Here is a 22,519-nt window from a genome sequence, read left to right as displayed (position 1 = left end):
GCTATTAGATAAGTCTTCTCTCAGGTCCTTCCTGGCTTGCTCTCTGACATCCCTACCTTATAGCTCCTGGATGCATTCAATATAGATGCACACTTTGGATTTGGGGACAGCAATTTGTACACATGCCACACAGAGATCATGGAAGAGAAATGAAAGTGATCACAGGTACCATTAGGCCTAGAGATTTGGAAAAATGAAATATGTTCTATAAAACTGATTACTGCTTTGGAAGAGATTTAAACTGTACCTAGAAATCTGTTTCATAGATCTTATTGCTGCTACAGAAGAGATCTAGACCGTCCTAAAGGGCTGAACTCTGCTCCCACTGTGCCCACAGTGATGCCACAGATGGATTGTTGCTGCCCCACCCGCCCCCCTGCTTACCCTCACCCACCCAACCCACTATGACACACTGGCCGGCCCAGCCAGAGATTATATAATAGGTCCAGCTATGCGTGCTTACTATCAGTAAGGCATTGCCCTTTCTGATAGTTCTGACGTTCAGTTGGAAATCTCTGTTGGGATCAGAAGAAATCTCAACTGGGAAGAGAAGGGTGAGCTCAGAGGGCATCATCATCACACCACATTGCTATGTGTAAAGACCATAGAAAGAAAAGTAAAATCCAGGGAGAGTGGGAAAAAAAAAAAAAAAAGGAGGAGACAGGAGAAGAAATTGAAAAGGAGATTAAAACAAAAGAGCTTAAACAGGAAGGGAAAAGAAGAGAAGATGCAATGTGAAAGGAGAATACAGATTTTGTTCTCTACTTTTCTTAGGTTGGATTTGGTCCTGAACTTGTGTAGTGCGATGATTAGGATATGCTGTGTCTGAGAGCCTGACATGTGTTTCTTCCTTTCAGTAGTTGTATCCTGTTGCCCATGCTGCTGTTTCTGCTGTTGTTTTAGGGTTAACTCCACTTATAATAGAGATTTTTTGAAAGTAGGATGGTAATAAGCTAATAGAAATCAGTCAGCCAACTTTTTGGTACCCTCTAACTCTTCTACTATTTTTTAAAGTTTCTCTGAAGGTTTGGTTAAAAACAAACACTCAGTATATTTGTCAATAGACATACATGAGTACTCTTAGTAACTTGTGACGGGACAAATGTAGGTGAGAAAAGGAAAGTGGAGCCAAAGTGTGGAAAATTTTGAAAACAAAAAGATTCCTGTGCTCCAGTGGGTTTCATTTATGAGATTTTTAAATTAAAATATGATCTGGTTTACTGAAATTTAGCTTGTAAAAAATACTGCAATTGATCATGGGAAGCATGAGAGTGTAGGAGGCTTACGTTTCTTCTTGGCTCTGTGTGGCCTGAACGCAAGGTCTACCTTTTACCTGCTCATTCCTGGGGCAATTACTGCATTGGCTGTTAGGGGCTTTTCCATAACGGATGTTTGTGTTCACATTTTAGGGACGCTATGATGGAAGACGTTGGACAGAATCCACTGGATGATGTGTAAGTATGGGAATAATAAAAGAGTTCAGTAGAGGAAGCTCCACGGGAAGAGTCTCCAGCAATCCAGTAAGGAAGAACTCCACTGTGTGAGAATTTATCTCCTCAAGTCTGAGGAGGCTTCCTAGGGATAAGAAACTTTGGCTTCAGTTCTCTGTTCTTCATCAGAATAATGATGGGATTTTCAAAGATCTCTAGTGTCTCAAACAGCTAATCAGTCTGGCAGGAAAAAGATTCATCACCCTTTTGGCCTCTACTCAGCCCATGTCCCTGCCTGACTAGGTTAGAAGATAGCAAAAGGAGAAGCCTTTCCCTTGCAGGTCTCTAAATGCTTTAGAGGTATCACTTGGATTCTGCATACTTCATCTAAGATATTTTAAAACAAGTGTGTTAAAGTATTCATAGAAAAAATATTTTTTTTGCTTCATGAAAGCTTTGTTTCAGTGGGTTCCATTTATAGTATTTAAAATTAAAATGTGGCTCCACTCCAGGAATTTACTTTATGCAAAATAGTGTAGAAATCAATTTATCATGGAAAACAAAATAAGGCTGGTTAAGCTTATTAACAACAGAAGATAAGAGAATGAGTGAAACTATAGGGGAACGTCTTCTTAGGGCTCCTATGTTTTCCTGTCCTGAGGTTGGTGATAAAGATGATTTTCTGTAGGTAGCAGACGATATAATTACCAGCATTAGAAGCTGTAAAACAGAACCTTGACTGCCTGAATTCAGACCTTGAAAAGGACCTGCAGAAACTGGATATGGAGAATCAGGTTCTCCTTAGAAAGATTAAAGAGAAAGAAGAAACTATTTCAAGGTAAGGCTTTGTGGTTGGTGGGGGAAGGGCCTCCCCGCCCCTGCAGGTCCTTTGGGATACAGGTGGAAGAAAGTTTCACTTATTTGATGGTGAATCTTGACGTTTTATTTAAATCCTAAAGTATGAACTACAGTGCCCTCAAAATACTTCAGGTATAGATTTTTGCATTAAATTTTCACATTAGGTTGACATTTTATCGCCATTGCATTTGGTAGTTACTCTGACTTCCTGAGACTTCGAAAGTAGCTTCTCAAATTGGGGCCCTGGCAGCTTTCTTAGGGGCTGAGCCACACCTGGGTGACTTTATATTTCTCAGCCTGGAAAGAAAGCTGGCCTTGTCACTAGAAGAAGCCAAAGAGGAGGAGGAGTTGAACTATGTCATAGATGAACAGGAGGAATCCCTGAGGGAGCTGGAATTAGAGACAGCAAAGCTGGTAAGGAGGTGTCTAGAAAAGGACCATTGGATGCATTTTGTTTGCATTCTGCTGCTCTCCTTCCCAGGAATTCATCCCATGTTCATTGCTTCTGTGTCTCAAATCATGGCTGTTTAAGAGAGTGTTCTGGGAATGAAGCACTGGGCATGGGGGCCGAAGAGGCTTTTTTCCCAGATCTGCTGTGTGAGCCAGAGTGCACTTTTCCGACTTGATAGACTAATCCCCAGATATTATTCCAGTGGCCTGATGAAGGGGGAGAGATGACGGCAGAGCAACTTTCTTCCCTTGACTTTCTTTTTCCCCACAGGAGAAAAGTAACGCAATCCTAAGCAGGAATGTGGTGGAGGTTCAGAAAAAGGTAAGGGGAGCCCTGGGTTTTTTAGGGTCCCCGAGTCCCTAAGAACATTGTGTCTTCACAAGAGAAAGGCTGGTGGGCTGGGCTGGGAGTATGCAGGAGGGGTCCTAGGCACATTCAGAATGAGAAAAGATATACATAAACGTTAACGGAAAGGCTGTTCTCCACATAGCAAAGCATGCCCTGGAAACAAGCCTCGTTTCTTAGGAATCTTATCAATAAGAGTTATCTTCCAGAACTCTGTAATCACAGAGACTGGAGAAGAAGGAGCAACTGGCAAAGTTTGCATGCTCCCTCTGCACTGCTGCTGCCAATTGTTCTCTGGGCATTACAGATTGTGGTGAGAGGGCTAAAGGGCTTTAGAGGGGGAAAAGACTTATCCCTCCTCCCACTCTGCCCCATTCTCTCTTCCCTTTCTCATTGTCCTCCCCTCCTCACTGTGCACTTTCTTCCATGGGCTGTGGGAACAGAAAAGTCTGTCTAGCCCACATGGAGTCAGGCAGCCTCCACAGAGAGAAGGAGATGCTTTTCTTCCAAGCTTCTATCCAGGGCCCGAATTAGTAACCACCATCTGCAGCCTGGGACCCCAGTCTGCCACTGGCCCAGGTTTTCATGTCTGTGTGCCTTACTTAGTTCATGATTTTTTGAATGGTATTTTAGATTTCAGGGTTATTTACAAATATTGGCCTTGAAGAAGAAACCACAAAGCAGATCCTGGAGGAAATGAAGGTGAGTAGAAAAAACAAACAGATTTTTCTGGGAGATGTGTCAATTCTAGGTCCTGTGAGAAATTGCTCTCAAGGACTACCCTAGGGTATGTACTGGTTATGTCTGTGTACTTATCAGAGATGAGTCACTGTCCTTTATTCTCTGCATGTAATCCCATGGCCTGTGGGGGCATTTATGACATCACTAGTCACACTAGGAGCAGAGATGACTGCAGTGGATCAAAGTGGAGGGAACTGCTCCAGAGTCCCCATCTTCCATCAGTCGATAAAACACATGTTCTGAATGCCCATTGGGACCTGCCCTCCAGAAGCTTATTATTTAAGTGAGGACACACAAATAAGATATTCAATAGGAAGAAAATATTGACTCCCATAGTCATACAGGGATGTGTCATGATCTTCTGATTTCCAACCCATGGCTCAAAGGCCAAAGAAGTTTTTTTAAAATTTATTTTGTTATCTTTTTCCTCTGCTAGAAGATAAACTCATTGAGAACATGAATTGTTGCCTATGTTGTTCATTTGTTTCCCCAGGGCCTAGAACTATGTGCCTGGCACATAGTAGATGCCCAATAAATATATATTGAATGAATGACTACACTGGACACCCAATAGTGGGGAAAACCCCTATTAGGAAGCTCTCTGCATACTTATGTGGTGAGTGTGGCAATTTAACTGAGCCCACTATACAAGAGCTCCACTGTCTTATGTATTTCTCAGAAAAAGAGAAACCAGGTTTCTCTCTCTCTTTTTTTTTTTTTTTTTTTTTTGAGATGGAGTCTCTCTCCATCACCCAGGCTGGAGTGCAGTGGTAAGATCTCGGCTCACTGCAACCTCTGCTTCCCGGGAGTTAAAGCAGTTCTCCTGCCTCAGCCTCCTGAGTAGCTGGGACTACAGGCACACGCCACGATACCTGGCTAATTTTTGTATTTTCAGTAGAGATGGGGTTTTACCACATTGGCCAGAGTTCACCATGTTGGCCAGGGTGGTCTTGAATTCCTGACCTCAAGCAATCTGCCTGCCTTGGTCTCCCAAAGTGCTGGGATTACAGGCGTGAGTCACTACGCCTGGCCCAGGTTTCTCTTTTATTTTCTGTGTGATTCAGGGGACATGCCAGTGCACCCTATGAAATATGAGTGGGAGGAAGAGGCTTGTGAGCTTTGGTCAGTAGGCCTGGAGGAAGGAGGATGGCTGGGTTCACTGAATGGGCACTGGCCTACTGAGGCGTAAATGTCAGCTCTGCCACTTTAAACTTTAACAAGTTACATACTCAACTTCTCTGCGCCTTTGTTTCCTCATTTGTAAAATGGAGAGGGGAGGGGGTAATAACAAGTGCCCACCCTAAATTGTTATCAGATGTCTTCAACATGATAGCCATTAGTGTCATGCCCTCTGCTGGTCTGGATATGGTAATTACCCACTTCCCTTCCATAAAAGAATGCTAGTAACTTTCTGCCGTCACTCATTGTCTTCCACAGGCAAGACTACAGAAGTCAACAGAGTCCTGTGCAAAGCAAGAGGAGGAACTGGCCAAGGCAGAGGCAATGTCTCTTCCACTGAGGGTCTGCCCGGGATAGAATGGGAGAGAATCCCAAGGGTCTTAGAAACAGATCTGCTTGAGGCATAGGAGGGGGAGGTACAAAAACATCTTGCAAATGAATTTCTGATTCTTATGCATTCTTATGCAGCTGAAGGGAAAGAAAACTTCTATTAAAAATACTGCTTTTACCATTTCTTACATCTCTGTGTCAAATACCATTGTTGAATTCCAAACCAAAGTGCCTTGACACGTCCCCTGGTATTTCACATGAGAGGCAGATGACAACTTGGGCAAAATATTTCCTTTGCTTAAAACCAGACCCTGTGCCTAATGATGAGATCACCTCTTTGTGATGTGACTGTTTTTCCTTCAAGTCAGGAGTTGCTAGGTAACCAGCCAAGTGCCAGTGCACCAGGTAGGGCCCCAGGGAGGAGACTGGGCTTGGTTCTGATTTAACTCATGAGGTTTGTTAATTTTCTTTCTTTTTAGATAGAGAGTGACTACCAATCTGTGTCTGACCTCTGTAAGGACCAGGTCTACTACATAAAGGTGCAACCCATGTGGAGGAAAAGTCCGAGTAGAGGCAGAATATCTCCAAGGCCATGGGTTCCTTGGTTTTTCATTAGGCTAGAATGTGTCACTAGGGAAAATGCTCTGTATACAACAGCAACAAGAAGACGGATGTATGTTAAGGATTTACTTTGTGCCAAGTACTGTGCTAAGCACTCAGCCTATAGTATTTTTCTCAATCAATTTGTTCAATAATTCTATGAGCGTGACAGTTATGATCAAGGGGACAATGAGGTTTCAGGAAGTTAGAATGCAGCTAGTAACAGGGAACACAGCTAGTAAACGTCAGAGCTGGGATTTGAATACAAGCAGGGACCTGAATGGGAGGGAGCTCTTTTTGTTCATACACATCCATTCCGGTCACTAATATCTTTGAATTTTTTATTAGAACCCCTCCCCCACTGGTGTGTGCATACTGATGAGTATATTGTTTGGAAAATAATTAGCAGAATGTTTTTATCAATGACATCATGATGAGATATGGAAATTTTCCATTTATGACTTTGTTTATTTTTTAACTTCATGGAAAGAAATACCAGGAAGTTCTGAGGAAGATGAAAGAGGAAAAGGAGACGCTGCTTCTTGAAAAACAAATGTAAGCTTAGAAAAATGGCCTCCCTGACAGACTGCAGTAGCAGTCCGGCAGTCCAGGCGGCCTTTGAAGGGCGGGGTGCTTCTCAGCACAGTGTGTGTCACTGTGTAAATGGCCTCCAACAAGTCATCTCTTTCAGCCTCCGCTCCATGGTTCAGACTGGAAAACCAACAGCATTCAGGCTTTCCTCTTGCCTTCCTCAGCAACTGGTGTTTTAAAAGCCTCTTTTTGGCCAGGCGCGGTGGCTCATGCCTATAATCCCAGCACTTTGAGAGGCCGAGGCGGGTGGATCACCTGAGGTCAGGAGATCGAGACCATCCTGGCCAACATGGTGAAACCCCGTCTCTACTAAAAAAAAACAAAAATGAGCAAGGCATGGTGGCGGCCGCCTGTAATCCTAGCTACTTGGGAGGCTGAGGCATGAGAATCCCTTGAACCCAGGAGGTGGAAGTTGCAGTGAGCCAAGATCAGGCCACTGCACTCCAGCCTAGGCAACAGAGTGAGATTTTGTCTCAAAAAAAAAAAATCTCTTTTTAATGTTCTTCTCTTTGTTGTTGTTATTGTTGTTGTTTGTTTGAGACAGAGTTTCACTCTTGTCGCCCAGGCTGGAGTAGAATGGTCTGATCTCAGTTAACTGCAACCTCCACCTCCCAGGTTCAAGCGATCCTCCTGCCTCAGCCTCCCAAGTAGCTGGGATTACAGGCATGTGCCACTGCGCCCAGCTAATTTTTGTATTTTTAGTAGAGACAGGTTTTCACCATGTTAGCCAGGCTGGTCTCGAACTCCTGATCTCAGGTGATCCACCCGCCTCAGACTCCCAAAGTGCTGGGATTACAGGCGTGAGCCACCGTGCCCGGCCCTAATGTTCTTTTCACATGTCCTCAGAGGCATGCAGTTCCTGAAAATTATCTGGAGCTATGTTCAGAGAGGAAGAAACGTAGTAAAAAGAGGACTAGGGGCCCAGAAATATTCCTTTATGTGTGTGTGCTGTCCCCTTTCCCAGGATGCAGTGGGTCCACCAGACTGACCAGAGGCCCCAGTGATGCCCTTTTATACTTTCTTTCCATAGACTGTATGTCTCAGGACTTGTCACACTTTCCTTTTGATTATTTATACTTTTCAATTGCATTATATAATGTACATAGAGTGCACAAATTTTATATAGCTTGGTGAATTTTTATACATGATAACACCACTGAGATCAAGCTGTGGAACATTCTGAGTTCCCGAAAACCTCCCTGTCCCCTCCTCCCAGTCAATACTCCTGGAAAAGTAACCATTAGCCTGACTTGCATCTCTTTCTTTTTAAAGCATTCTTGAACTTTATATAAATTTAGTATGTTCTTGATTGTGTCTGGCTTTCACTAAGACTCACTCGCATTGCTGCATGATTTGTTCTTTTTCATGGCTGTTATATTCTATTATAGAAATATGGCACAATTTATCTATGCTACTCTTAAGGAACATGTTGCTTATTTCCAGTTTGGAAATTTATAATAAAGCTGCTACAAGTATTCTTGTGCATGTCTTTTGATGGATGTATCCTCTCATTTTTCTTGGGTTAGATACCAAGGAATAGAATTTCTAGGTCACAGAGTATATACATCTTTGGTTTACTAGATAAGCTGAACAATTTTCCAAAGTGCCTGTACCAATATCCCCTCCCATAAAAAATGTACAAGAGTTCTAGCTATTCCTCATCCTTACTTTCACTCAGTATTTATAGCCTTTATGATTTTAGCTATTCTGGCAGAAGGGTGTAGTGATGTATACAATTTTGATTTAAAAAACATTTTATTACTCAATAATGATATTTTATGTGCATTTTATTGCTGATTAATAATGATGTCTTACAGCTTTTCACACAGTTTGGAAATTTGAATGTCCTCTTTTGTGACATGTCTTTCGCCTGCATCTGTGAGATGGTTAGTCTTTTTCTAATTGATTTGTAGGAGTTCCTTATTTTTTTCATAAGATCCTTTGTCAAATGTGTGTATTATAGTCTATTCTGAGGCTTTCCTTTTTTACTTTCTTAATGACATTTTGGATAAACAATAGTTATTAATTTAGAAAAAAATCTAATCTGTGAAATGTGTCAATCCATTCTTTTTTGCTTTCTGCCTTTTAGAGGTCATAAAACTACTCTCTGTGGTTTCCCCTAGAATTTTTTATCATTTACCTTTTACTCAGGTTTACATTCTTTTGGAATTTATTTTCTTTTCTGTGGTGTGAGGTAGAGATTAAAATTTGTGGGGTTTTTTTTCCATATGGATATCCAATTGATCCAGCACAATTTATTGAAGATACTATTCATTTGCAGTGGTGTCTTATTTTATGTCTGGTGACCATATATGTGTGAGTGTTTCTGGATGCTTTATTCTGTACAATTAGTCTCTGTTCCTATCCTTGTGCCAAAACTACACTAATTATTATAGCTTTATAATTAGTATTGATATGGTAGCTTAAATTCTGCACGATTATCTTGGCTTTCTTGGCCCCTTGAATTTCTATATAAATTTTAAAATCGGTTTTTCAACTTCTACCAAAACAAAAACAAAAAACCTTGCTGAGATGTTGATTGGAGTTACATGGAATCTATAGATAAAGTGAGAGGATAATTAGTATCTAAACAATAATTTTCCATGGCCAGGTGCTGTGGCTCATGCCTGTAATGTCAGTGTTTTGGGAGACTGTGGGGCGGGGGAGGTTCTATTGAGGCCAGGAGATCGAGACTAGCCTGGGCAACATAGCAAGACTCTATCTCTACAAAAAATAAAACAAATTATCTGGGCATGGTTGTGTGTGCCTATAGTCCTAGCTACTCAGGAGGCTGAGGCAGGAGGATGGTTTGAGCCCAGGAGGTTGAGGTAAAAGTGAGATATATTGCACCACTGTATTCCAGCCTGGACCACCGAGTGAGATGCTATCTCAAAAAGAATAATAAAAATAAACAATAGTTTCACACACCATGATATCTTTATCCCTTCGTTTATTTAGATATTTAATTTCTCAAAATAACGTTTTACAGTTTTCTGTGTGGTGTTCTTATACACTTTCCATCAGATTTATTCCTAGGTATTTAATATTTTTAATGCAACTGTGAATGCTGTGTTAATTTGATTTTCTTTTTTTATTAATATTAAAAATAAAATAGAGACGGTGGCCAGGTGTGGTGGCTCATGCCTGGAATCCCAGCACTTTGGGAAGCTGAGGCAGGTGGATTACCTGAGGTCAGGAGTTCGAGACCAGCCTGACTAACATGGTGAAACTCTGTCTCTACTAAAAATAAAAAAATAAAAAAAATAAAAAAGCCAGGTGTGGTGGCACATGCCTGTAGTCCCAGCTACTTGGGAGGCTGAGGCAGGAGAATTGCTTGAACCCGGGAGGAGGAGGTTATGCCACTGTACTCCAGCCTGGGTGACAGAGCGAAACTCCATCTCAAAAAATAAAAATAAAATAATAAAATAAAATAGAGACAGGGTCCCACTATGTTGCCCAGGCTGGTCTCAAACTCCTGGGCTTAAGCGATCCTCCCACCTTGGCCTCCCAAAGTGCTAGGATTGCAGGTGTGAGCCAACATGCCAGCCTTGATTTTTTAATTGATTACTGTTAGTGCATAGAAATACAATTGGTTTCTATATATTGAACTTGTATCATTAATCTCACTAAATTCACCTATTCTAAAAATTTCTTTTAGCTTCTCAACTATAAATAATAACAATTGTACTTTTTCCTTTTCAGTCTTTATCTTTTTATTTCTTTTTCTTGCTTTATTGAATTATTTGCAAGCATTTGCAGGCATTATTTGCTGGTATTATTTACAGGCATTTCCATTAATGGACTCAATCCTATTGCATAAAATGAAACTTAGGATAACAAAACAAAATAAAACAAATGAACAAACAATGAACAGAAGGTATTGGCGAGTGAATAAAAGCAAGCAGATTCTGGAAGGGATCTGGCACTTGGAAAAAGAGAATGATGGGCATTATTTCCCCTATTTTTATAGTTTCTAGCCTGAAGAAAGACCAAACTGGGTGTGTAAGATGCACCAGCAGAGAAAACCTATAGTCTTTTTGGACTAACAAAATAGAGAATAAAGAGTTTGAGGCAGCCAAAGATACTGGGGAAAAAGTAGAGAGTCAGACATGGGGAGTTCCTAAATCTGTGTCTAAACTATACCTGAATCTCTGACTGGACTTCCAAACCATGCATGCTCAGGGCAATGTGTGAGCAGCCCAGCTGAGGACATAAGACCACAACTGAAACTTGAGCTGCCACCAAGACACAAACTGCAGTTTGAATCCAACATCAGGGTTATATCCAGCTTAGTTTTCATTGATTGTCTTCTTTTAAAAATGAATCACATTTTCCTGGTTCTTTATAAGTTTAGCAATTATGGATTTTAAATGTTGAGCATTGTGAATGTTAGTAAGAGTCTAGGATATGAATCGTAGATACCGCGTAACTTAGGAAAGCACCTTTCATCAGCCTCTCAGATTATGTTACCTAATTCTTGGCTCTGATCTCTTACCTAGATCCAAAGCCCAGGATGACTCCTCTCAAACAGTGAAACCGGGATCAATTTTGGCAGACACCACCCAAAGAAACATGGCCAGTTTTTCCTATTCCAAACCTGGGTTTTCCTCTATCCCTTCCCTCTCCTAGCTTCTCTCTCTCTCTCTCTCTCTCTCTCTCTCTCTCTCTCTCTCTCTCTCTCCCTCCTCTTTAATAATCCTATAATTAGGAAATAATGAGGTTTAGTTCCTACCCCACACCATGGAAGCTAGGAGGTGGCAGAGCCAGAATTCAAACCCAGGCATCCTGACTCCAGGGTCTCTGCTATTCTGCCTCTCTGTGAACACACGAAAAGCCATAGCTGTGATTTTTCATTGCTTCCCACAGGAGAGGACCACCATTAAGAAACAGGAGAGAAGGTGTTGGTACAAGTAAGCGGAAGAATCTTGCTTTTACCTAGCCTAGACCACATTTCACTCTACACATTACCTGATAAGGGCCAAAAGAACAAGAATAAACACATCATCCACTGATCAGAATACATAAGGCAGCCCCAAATTTCTCCCAACCATTCTTACTTTTCTCAATGCAGAATTATAACACCAGAGTTAAACAGCAGCTATAAATAGCTGGAGAAATGTGTGGCTATTTCTGAGAAATTTGGGATAAAGATGTAGGTTGCATTTAACTTTTAATTTTCATTCTTATGATCCTAGGTATAGCACCTTTCCATTTTTTCAAGTCCTGAGCTTGATTACCTCTGTGATATTCCTTGTTGGGAAAAAAGTTCAGAGTGCATTAATTTTCTTAGTTATCTTCATGCTTAGAAATTTTAGAAAAAAGATCCTTAAACTCTCTGTGCCTTTGCTTTTTTAATTTTTGAAACAAGAATATTGACCCTGAAGAGCTTCAAGTGGCACTTTAATAAAAAGCCCCATTCCCTACTTTCCCCTATCAACTTTGCCTGAAGAAAGCAATTCACCAGCCATTTATGACTGTGAGGTTTGCCTTTCACTGCTTGACCTCGGGCTGTCTTTTTTCTCATGCAAATAATGAACATCTCTTTGCAGGTATTTCCAGTATCTCACCTTCATGGTCTTAGTCTTTATTAGGTTGCTGGCTTATGTGATTTTCCACCTGCAGTACATAAACCCAGATCTTCTCGTGGATGTCCTGCCCCTGGTGCTGAGCAGGGGCACCTTGGAGAGTCTGAGGAAGGTCTCACATCCCTTCCTCACTCTAGCAGTGGAAGAAGCACTACCACACTAGTCTGGGGTGACCTGGGGGCATCACCCCACACCTGAGTGGAGGTGACCGTGGCTGTGGCCCCATGTTGGGGATGGCCAGGAAGGATGTGGAAGCCTTTGACTCAGAGCCGCTACTTGACATCTGAGTTTTTCATTTCATTCTTTCCCTGCTTTCCCTCTGGAATGTCTCTCTTTCAAATAAAGAATATGTTTGACGAGAGTCCACAGTGTTGGTCTGTGAATTTAGTCTGTGAGTCCTGGGACCCCTCACTAGGTATTCACAAGTTCCACCTTTTGCTGTTGAGAAAAGCTGCACTTAAGGCGAGATAACAAAAACTCCCCTCAGGACTTCCATTCTCTGCTCTATATTTTTAAAAACTTAAACCATCGTATACTTACCCTACCTGGGTGTGGTGGCACGCACCTGTAATCCCAGCTACTCGGGAGGCTGAGGAGGGAGTATTGCTTGAACTGGGGAGGCAGAGGTTGCAGTGAGCCGAGATTGCGCCACTGCACTCCAGCCTGGGTGACAGAGTGAGACGTCTCAATAATAATAATAATAATAATAATAATGATAATAGTAATAATAATAATAATGTGTTCATTTGTTAGATTCTCCAGTCTCTTTGTGGTGTACATAAGGGCACTTAAATTAGGAACCACTGGGGTGGATAGAAAGCTTTTCCTCTTCTACTGTTTTAACAACACATTATCTCCCCTACAAGCTTATTTTATTTTATATCATGCTATGTCTTATAAGATTAAGATGTGGAAAAAAACTGATCTTTTTCATTTAAACGGGTGGTTACTCATTCTTAAATGAGAAGAAAAGTATCCTAAAATTCAGGTGCAATTAAAAGCAGCGTATAAAACCAGAAAGTGCTTGAGATACAGCCAAACACAAATGTGTACCTACCTATCCTTCAATCCCAGTTCAAATGTCCTCACTCCCATATGGCTGCCTCTGCCCCCTTCTCACTGAAGACAGCCTCTTTTGCCTTCCAGAAGCTCCTGAAACCTTCTCTGGGCATCCCATACTGCCCTGTCCACTTCTGCCTCACAGTGTCATCACTGGGTGCCTTGACCTTGGGGCTGATGGCCCCTTTATTTCTGTATCATCCCACATGTTCCCTTCACACAGTATGTTCACAAAGTAGGATTTAGCAAAAGAGGGAATGATTCCTTGAGTAATCTGTATTTCTTTCCCTGAGCACTTGGAGGGTCACAATTGGAACCGTGAGCCTAGACCCTGTATTGTGAAAGCTCACACTTTTGCAGGGACAGCCACACGGAGCCTGGATGGTGCAGAGGGAAGGGAAGTAGAAGAATGTGGCACAAAACCCGAGGTCATCTAGCCGGCTGGTGGCATCTCCATGGTTACCAAAGTGGTGGAGATGCCTTTCTTTGCCTGTTTCTTCTGCCTACACATTCCCTACACTCTTACTTTCTAGTGACCTTCTCTCCTTTAGAAACCTTTATTGATGTAGGTTTTAATTGAATTTCACTTGGACAGCATCCGGGCAGAAGAAACACACTGTATGTTTACTTTGGCTGTAGACATGGCCCTGTCTCAGGTTTTCTTTCTGAGGTCTGGGGAAGAAGAGAGTGAATGATCTCAGAACAAGGTATCTATAAAATGAAAAACTGGCCAATATCACCCTCTCGTGGCCAACTGAAAGCCTTTTGCATTTCAAGTGGCTTCACCCAAAGGAGTGATTAACAAATTGAAGCAAGAAAGAGGGATCGGATGTCACCATTGGATAATTTTCTCTATGTGTTCTAATAAGTCCAATTAGTCTTCATTCATCTATTAATTCATTCATTCAACGAATACTTACTGAGCATCTTCCTTGGGCTAGGCAGTGTTCTAAGTGCTGGGATATAGCAATGAACACAACAGACAAAAATCTCTGCTCACATTCTAGTGGATAGAGGCAGACAATAAACACATAATTAAATATGCAAATATTGGATGATGTTAAGTGATATAACAAAGTTCAGCGGGGAAGAGGGAGTGCTGAGGAGAAGCAGTCACAATGTTCATTGAGAGAGTGGCATTATAACAAAGACCAGAATGAGATGAAGGATTCAGCCGGTGGTAGATGAAGAGACAGCAAAGACATGGTCTTGAGGTTGGAGGGTGCCCGTGATGCTGAGGTTCCTTTGCAGATTCCCTGCTCACACTTCTGTAATGGTCCCTTCATTAAAGTCTCTTCATCGGAATCCTCCAAGTTGAATTCTGGTTCTGCTAGGACAGGACCCTGGCTGATACATTGTCCACTGGCCAGAACGTGTCCTAGGCCACAGGGCTTCAGTGGTTGGGTGACTCTAAGACTACAGGTCTATGTGAGAAGAATGGCTGTGGCTGGCCTAGAGAAGTATCCCATTCCCATCCCGTCACACAATTCCTCATCAACTCGTAGAACACTCAGGCTCTCCTCTACCACCTAGCCCTCCCTGCAGACACAACCCTAGACAAACATGGGCCTATCCCAACGTCTAAACCTGGCTAGAAAGCAGCAGCTTGGGCTAATATGGACTAGGTAGCCCCTTACAGTCAGCCATCTAGTGGGGATTTGAAACCTTGAAACTGCTAGAAATTCATGTTGCTGACACACAGTTGCTTTTGCTGCCCCCAGAGAGCCTGCCTCCAATAGGAAGCTGGCTTCAGAAGGGCCTGAATGGCATTCTTAAATCTTGGAAGCAGAAGAGTGATGGCTGCTTCTTTAAAAAATAATAATTTTTTTTTTTTGAGACAAAGCCTTGCTCTGTCACCCAGGCTAAAGTATAGTGGCGTGACCACAGCTCACTGCATCCTCAACCTCCCAGGCCCAAGCAATGCTCCCACCTCAGCCCCCTGTGCTGGGAAGATTGCTTAAGCCCAGGAGTTTGAGACCAGTCTGGGCAACGTAACGGAAACCTGTCTCTATTTTATTTTATTTTATTTTATTTATTTTTGAGATGGAGTCTCACTCTGTTGCCCAGGCTGGAATGCAGTGGCGTGATCTCAGCTCAATGCAACCTCCACCCGCCGAGGGTTCAAGCGATTCTCTTGCCTCAGCCTCCCGAGTAACTGGGACCACAGGCACGTGCCACCATGCCCAGCTAATTCTTTCTGTTTTTTGTAGAGACGGGTCTTCCTGCTGCCCAGGCAGGTCTTGAACTCCTGGCCTTAAATGATCCTCCCACCTCAGCCTCCCAAACTACTGGGATTACAGTCGTGAGCCACCACGCCTGGCCGCCACTGCTTTAACTGAGCAGTGCTGAGCTAGGGATCTGATTTCCAGTCACAGGGAGCTCACCACTCCCAAACTATCCATCTGTTTCTGAAAGGTTTTAACAAAATAATATAAAGCACGTAGCACAAGCAGCATGTAGTGCTATTCAACCAACACAAGCTTTCTTTTCCTTTGCTTTTATCTACTAATTAATCTTAGTGTTATTTTATAAAGTGACACAGAAAAATGACTGCCTCCTTCATATTTTAGTCACTAAAATTGAACAGCCTTCTGTTCTCCAAAATGAACATTCCCAAGTCCTTTCAGTTCATATGGCATAACTTTTAGATTGTGTGTTATCTTATTTATCCTTCCCTGGAACCCTACAGAGCTAAACGGAATACAGTACTATAGATGATGTCTGCCTGGTGAAGTACGGTAGCCCTATTCTCCTTTTATTCTGAACATTATGCCTTTATTAATGCTTTCTAAGATTTTGCTAGCGATTTTGGCAGCTGTTTCACACAAAGATATGGGCTTGGAGTCCACCAAGATTCCTAACCCTTTTGAACATAAATTCTTCTTACTCTACATCTCCTCTGTTTTGTATTTGTAAAGATTTTTAAAACTATGCTACGCACAGGACTTTCCACTTGCTGAGTTAAATTTCATTTTGTTGGTTTGGGTGCTTCATTTTATTTTGTTGCAATGCTTCAAAACCCAGATTCTATGAAGGAATTCATCAGCTCACTTAGTGACCTGGTAGAGTGGAAATTGCTCAAGTTTGGATGCAGAGAGGCTTGGCTGTGACATCTCCTTTGGCCTTGTACTAATTGTTGACCTCAGGCAGCTAGTTAACTCTTCCCTTAAAGTAGTTAATAATATAATACTCTCCCCCAGGGAGAGTGTTACAACAGGGCAATTCTTTCAGTATTCTGAAATGGAATTTCTTTGGGTGTGAAGGCTCAAATTCAATTAAATGAATTAGGCTTCTCTATCTTATTACCTATCTTAAAACGTAATTACCTGTTAACTGTTTTGGACTATCCTTTTTATCATGCTGGAGATCAATTTCCTTAACAGAGAAGGCTGATGTGAAATAGGACTCTTATCTGTCAACATTATAGCCTTTGCTCTAGGAATTGGCCTATCCCTTTCACTTCTTATTCCAAAGTACCTTTTTAAAAAATTCCACTCAATATCTCTTGGCAAGTTCCAGTGTTGTCTGGAAAAAAGCACTGAACAGGAGTCAAGCCTTAGACTCTAGTTTTAGCAATTTTGTTATTTATTTGATTTTATACAAGCCATATACCCTCTCTGGGCCTGGGGTTGACTTCCAGGTGATTTCTAAAATCATTCATGCTGACATTGATTCTATGAACCAGTTCATTTAGGTCCTTGGGTGAGTAAGAACCAACCTCTTCCTAATGTTCTCTAAGACCCCCAGGTTTCAGCCTTCCCAGCAATCTTAGCCTCTTTCCCAGAGGATTCCTCTGGAAGCCTGGAATTGCTTATGCCACTTTTTCTTGTCAAGAGTCTCAGCAGTAGTGTTTCTTAAGAATGAGTTAAGGCCGTGCGTGGTGGCTCACGCCTGTAATCCCAGCACTTTGGGAGACCAAGGCAGGTGGATCACTTGAGGCCAGGAGTTCAAGACCAGCCTGGCCAACATGGTGAAACCCTGTCTCTACTAAAAGTACAAAAATTAGCCAGGATGGTGGTGCATGCCTATAATCCCAGCTACTTGGGAGGCTGAGGCAGGAGAATCGCTTGAACCAGGAGGCAGAGGTTGCAGTGAGCCAAGATCAATCATGCCACTGCACTCCAGCCTGGGCAACAGAATGAGACTCCATCCCCCCTGCCCCCCGAAAAAAAGAGTGAGTTAAGACCTTCCATATAAAGGCTTAGTTTAGTAAATATTTATGGAGTTTCTACTATGTACCAGACACTGCAACGCATGAATGCAGTGCAGTGAAGGGGTGGGGGGGGGGGGGTGGGGAAGAGCAGTTTAAGAATGAGTAAGGAATCATGCCCTCAAAACCTCTTCATTTTGTGGCAGATCCCAGCTCTCAATATCAAGGTTAGAGGTAACTCTGAAGCTTCTCTGAGGTATAAATGCTGACTTAGTAGGGGCCCAGAACTATTGATGCCCACACTTCTTGGTCATCTACTGTATTGCAGACATTGTGTTAGATAGGTCATACGATCTCCATTTCACAGTTAGGAGAGTAGCCTAAAATTATCAATCTGGTAAGCAGCAGAGACAGGACTCATGGGCCACCTCTGGCCTCCCCCAGAACATTTGCCTTTCGTACTCAGGTGTAATAAAGACCTTTGAAGTCAGCAGTATTAACCTACTACTCAGAACCATTGAATCAGTAAGTGTAGTCAGTTATTTTCCATCACTTATTTTCCTGTCTCCTCTGTAATTTGTTCAAAGATAGTATAGGGACCCAAAATCCTTCTATTCATTGTCGTAAATTTTACTTTGGAGCCCAATTATTCTTCTAGTTTAATAATTCCCATTAAAGATTTTAAAAAGCTTTGGATAAATGCTTTATTAAAGCATCACAGGCCATTTATACCTTAGTATGAGTAAAAAATGGAAGGGCTGGGTTCCATAGGGGATCGGGGGGACTTAAAGGAATTATTAGGCCATTGTCTTTTTTATTTTTTGGAGACAGTCTTGCTCTGTCACCTATGCTGGACAGCGGTGATGCAATCTTGGCTCACTACAACCTCCACCTTCTGGGTTCAAGCAATTCTCCTGCCTCAGCCTCCTTAGCAGGTGGGATTACATGGATGTGCCACTACCACAGCTAGCTTTTTTTTTTTTTTAGTGGAGACGGCATTTCAACATGTTGGCCAGGCTGGTCTCTAACTCCTCACCTCAAGTGATCTGCCCGCCTCAGCCTCCAAAAGTGCTGGGATTACAGGCATGAGCCACTGCGCCCAGCCGTCAACTGAAGAAGAGTGAGGGCATTGAATTCAGGGCTAACCAGGAAGCTAAAGTAATCCTTTGAAAGATGACTCCACCAAGAGCAGCCTTGTCTGAGTTGGCTGTCGGGGTAGGCATGTAAGGCTTTATTTCTCACACATAACCATGACCTTCTCAGGCAATAATTTTTAGTATAAAATAACTGGACTTGGGGAATCCCAACCCACTCCAGGGGTGACATTATTCCCTGCAGGTTGCTCTCTTGTAAGGCCCATTTGAAATGTTCATGGTTGATCTTTATCCCACACAACATACATATTTACTGGTTAGGTTTTCATCAGCTCCTTTGAAATCCTTGTCTTTACACTAAGGTCATCACCCTTTGTGTGTGAGTGTCAGCTTAAAAGACCATCAGTTGCCCCCTGAATAAACTGAATGTTTGTGTCTCCCCAAAATTCACATGCTGAGATTAAAATCCCCAATGTGATGGTATCTGGAGGTGGGGCCTTTGGGAGGTAATTGGGTGATGGGGGCAGAAGGATTAGTGCCATTACAAAAGGGACCTCAGGGAGCTCCCTTGCTCCTTCTGCCATGTGAGTACAAAGCAAGAAAATGGTCATCCATGAACCAGAAAGCAGGAAAATCAGAAATCAAATCTTCTGGTACCTTGGTCTTGGACTTTCCAACCTCCAGAACTATGAGAAATTAATTTCTGTTGTTTATAAGCTGCCCAGTCTATGATACTTTGTTATATAGCAGGCCAAACAGATGAAGATATCCCCTCTTGGGGTTCAATGAGTTTGAATCCTGAAGGGTCTGTGGTCTCCAAACTCAAGAGCTTCCAGCTCTGTGGCAGGGCCCATGAACAGGCAGGTCCTTCTCCATTTTCTTGGGCTGTAAAAGCCTTCCTTTCCAGGCTGCTATCCCATGGCTCTCAGCTGGCAAATCTGCCCCAGTGTGGGGTCATCTATCCTTAGCCAGCAGAGGGATGATTTTCCAGTAGTGTAAATAGGGTGATCCCCTGCTTGGAGGTTGGGATTTATTTTTCTTTTGGAGGGTTTTTCAGTAGATTGGTGAAGTCTGAATCTAACTTAAGGATTTTCAGATCCTGAATTTATCAGCCCCACTGAGCAGACACAGAAGAGTGGAGAGAGCTATAGCAGTGTCTTTCAGCAGTTCTTAGGAGTTCAGGGGTGGAAAGATGGGGCGAGGGCGAGGGCTAGGGCCGTGTGGTGGATGGGGAAAGTCTAAGAGAGTCTGATGGGCAAGGAAATAGATTTCCTGGATATGAATCCTTGCCTTTGCTAGAATTTCTCTGCTGAAAATGTAGGTGGTTAGGAGATTTCCTACCTTCCAGGTCAGCTAAACCTGGAACTACATTTACAGTCAACTTTAAACAAAACCCCCTGACAGTTTACACCCTACACAGTCCACAGTCAGTACTGTAGTCTGGAAATAAGAGATGAATCTAAGGTTTGGATGCTGAAAGATTCACCTGTCTCTCCAGGCATGGTCTGAGTATTTCTAATCTAGAGAATTTATAAGTCAACAATGGGCCTGAAATATAGTCTTCCAGTGACTTCTCATGTAATGGAAAACTCATCTTCTCCCCAAGGTTTTATCCTACTGGGAAGATCACCAGTGATCAATCTTAAAAGAGAAAATGTCCATTAGGAATTTTTATGTCCCTTCACCTGCATTACTTTGCTAGGAAAAATAGGCATGAGAGGATTGTATATTTTATTATATAATCCTACTTCAAAAGAGTTTATATTCTATTCACAAGGAAAAAGGAAAGTACTAACAAATGCAAAGAAGCATGAGGGAAGTGTCATCAAGATAATACAAAAAGGCTCAAAGGAAAAAGATGAACAAAAAGGAGCTAATGGGAGAGGTGTCATTTGATACAGGAATTGACCAAGAGATATGATTTCAACTCATGGAGATGGAGGAGGAAGGGCCTTCTAACTGAGGAAAGGTAAAAGACGGAAATTAAAATGTGCCCTCAGGCTTTAAATATCTTAATTGCCTGGGGGAGAGGCTAGAGGTAAATTGATCCTTCGATTATTTGGAGTTCATTATCCCAGCAGAGAAAGTCTTACAGCAGCTTACTTGATTACTAGTTGTTCAAGAAACTTTATTTATTATCCACTTATATCTGGTATGCAAGAAAGAGTTTAAAAGAATCAATAAACTTTGGTCTCCAGTGGATTAGGTATTGACACGACTGCGGAAGAAGAGAAAGTACAAGATAGTCCTGAGGGCTCCCCAAGGGTAAACCTTCTAAATGTTTAAACCTTCAAAACCATTGATTCCCAGAAATACTCAGAACAAAGTGAAGTATTTGCAAGAGAGAGAGAGAGAAAATTTTGTGGGCCTCCGGAAGAGGAATCCTGTTACTTCCTTTATAGCTGATTCTCAACCCTAGTAACACATCAGAATCACCCAGGGACAGTTTAAAATATTCATGCCTGGGCCCCAACTCCAGATATCTTGATTTTATTTAGGGGTATTGGTATCTTTGAAAAGCTCCTCCAGGTGATTCCATCACTAGATAGAACGTCTTGACTGTGAGTTTTCCAGGTTCTTGGCGTATTGAACAAAGAATTGAACAAAATGCACAAACAAAGCAACAAAAGAAGCAACAAAAGACAAAATAAAAGAGTAGAGTAATAAAGGCATAAATTTATTGAAGATGCAAAAGTACGATTAACAGAGTGGGAGCAGACTTGAGCAAGTGGCTCAAGAGCCTCCCTATTGCAATGCTCCCCAGGGTATTTATAAAGCCAAAAGAACTTGGCAATACCCCTAGGTGCCCTCTAGAGGCCTCCAACTGGTGGCAGTCTATGAAAAATTGACCTGAGGCCAATCAGAGTCTGAAGTGGAAACTTCTGTCTTGTTATCACAGGAAGGAGGATGTGGCTTGTATGCTGCCCAATCTTGGCTAGAACTGCCTGCACCTGCTGTTCTTTTGCTTATGCCTTAATCTTTGGTTACCCTAATTCCCTTTTCTCCTGCCTTAATTCCAATGTACAGCCAAGGCTGCAAACCACTGCTCTGAAAGCACTTTTGGTAACCTCCAGACTCCTTATATAAAGACAAGAGAGAACTGGGGAGAGTTATTTCCAAATTGGGAAAATTCCTTCTATGTAGGAAGAAAAAGTGGACCTTAATATGAAGCCACCCTTCCTGATTATTTTTTCATATTTGTAGCTGCTTTGGCATCTTCAGCCTTGAATTCCAACTGGGTCTGTATTTGCTCCTACCTACCTTACATTGATTATAACAGTCTCTTTAATATATTGGGTTCTTCCCACTACGTGGAGAGAATATAGAAATCAGGGTAAAGCTACAAATTGCCCCTTTCCCGACATGGTAGGCTGAATAACAGCCCCCCCAAAGATGTTGTCAGCCCAGGCAGCCATAATAAAATACCATAAACTATCAAATATTTATTTTTCACGGTTCTGGAGATTGGAAATACAAGATCAGGGTGCCAGCAGGGTTGAGTTAAGGTGAGAGCCCTCTTCTGGGTTGCAGGCTGCTAACTTGTATCCTCACACAGAGGAAAGAGCTGGCTGGCTCTCTGGCCTGTTCTTATAAGGGCACTAATCCTCAAGGGCTCTGCCTTCATGAACTAATTACCTCCCCAAAGCCCCACACACAAATACCATCACAGTGAGATTAGAGTCTTAACATAGGAATTTTAGAGGGAACACATTCAGTCCATTGCAAATGTGACAACATAGAATCCAGAACATGTGAATATGTTCCCTCCTGTGGGCCTCTGCAGAGGTGATTAATGATTTTAAGATGGTGAGAGTCCCTTGAATTTTCCAGGTGAGCCCAGTGTGATCACAAAGGGGAAAGGAGAATCGGAGTTTAAGAAGGTATGACAACAGAAGCAGAGATTTGAGTGATACAAGTGCTGGCTTTGAAGAAAGAAGCCAGCCTCTTGGCCATGGACCAAGAAAGGCAGACAGCCTTGAGAAGCTGCTAAATATCTTACACACATTATCTTACTTAATCTTTGCAATGACCCTATTCCCCAGGTCCCTTCATTACCCTCATTTCATGGAGGAAGAGCCAGAGACTCAGAGTTAAGAATTGTTTTC

General features: G+C 42.2%; 1 pseudogene across 1 annotated transcript, besides 2 other annotated features; it reads left to right on the top strand.

The window, feature by feature from the left end:
- Nucleotides 1–467: 467 nt before the first annotated feature.
- Nucleotides 468–11,547, top strand: TMCO5B (transmembrane and coiled-coil domains 5B (pseudogene); annotated as a pseudogene). The gene is made up of 9 exons (NR_046005.1): nucleotides 468–554; nucleotides 1,410–1,454; nucleotides 2,119–2,268; nucleotides 3,010–3,060; nucleotides 3,718–3,786; nucleotides 5,263–5,420; nucleotides 6,425–6,489; nucleotides 11,025–11,100; nucleotides 11,392–11,547. The product of NR_046005.1 is annotated as a transmembrane and coiled-coil domains 5B (pseudogene) (transcript).
- Nucleotides 9,629–9,798: a silencer, noted in NCBI's record as "fragment chr15:33530426-33530595 (GRCh37/hg19 assembly coordinates)". NCBI's record gives its function as "represses an EF-1alpha promoter that drives an FKBP-Casp9 reporter gene in an ReSE screen in K562 erythroleukemia cells {active_cell/tissue: K562}" and the evidence as "EXISTENCE:reporter gene assay evidence [ECO:0000049][PMID:32094911]".
- Nucleotides 21,246–21,295: an enhancer, noted in NCBI's record as "active region_9169". NCBI's record gives its function as "activates an Ori minimal core promoter by ATAC-STARR-seq in GM12878 lymphoblastoid cells {active_cell/tissue: GM12878}" and the evidence as "EXISTENCE:reporter gene assay evidence [ECO:0000049][PMID:35858748]".

The sequence above is a fragment of the Homo sapiens genome, chromosome 15 (genome assembly GCF_000001405.40).
Source record: "Homo sapiens chromosome 15, GRCh38.p14 Primary Assembly".
Classification (NCBI taxonomy): domain Eukaryota; kingdom Metazoa; phylum Chordata; class Mammalia; order Primates; family Hominidae; genus Homo; species Homo sapiens.
This window is presented reverse-complemented; position numbering and strand designations above follow the sequence as displayed.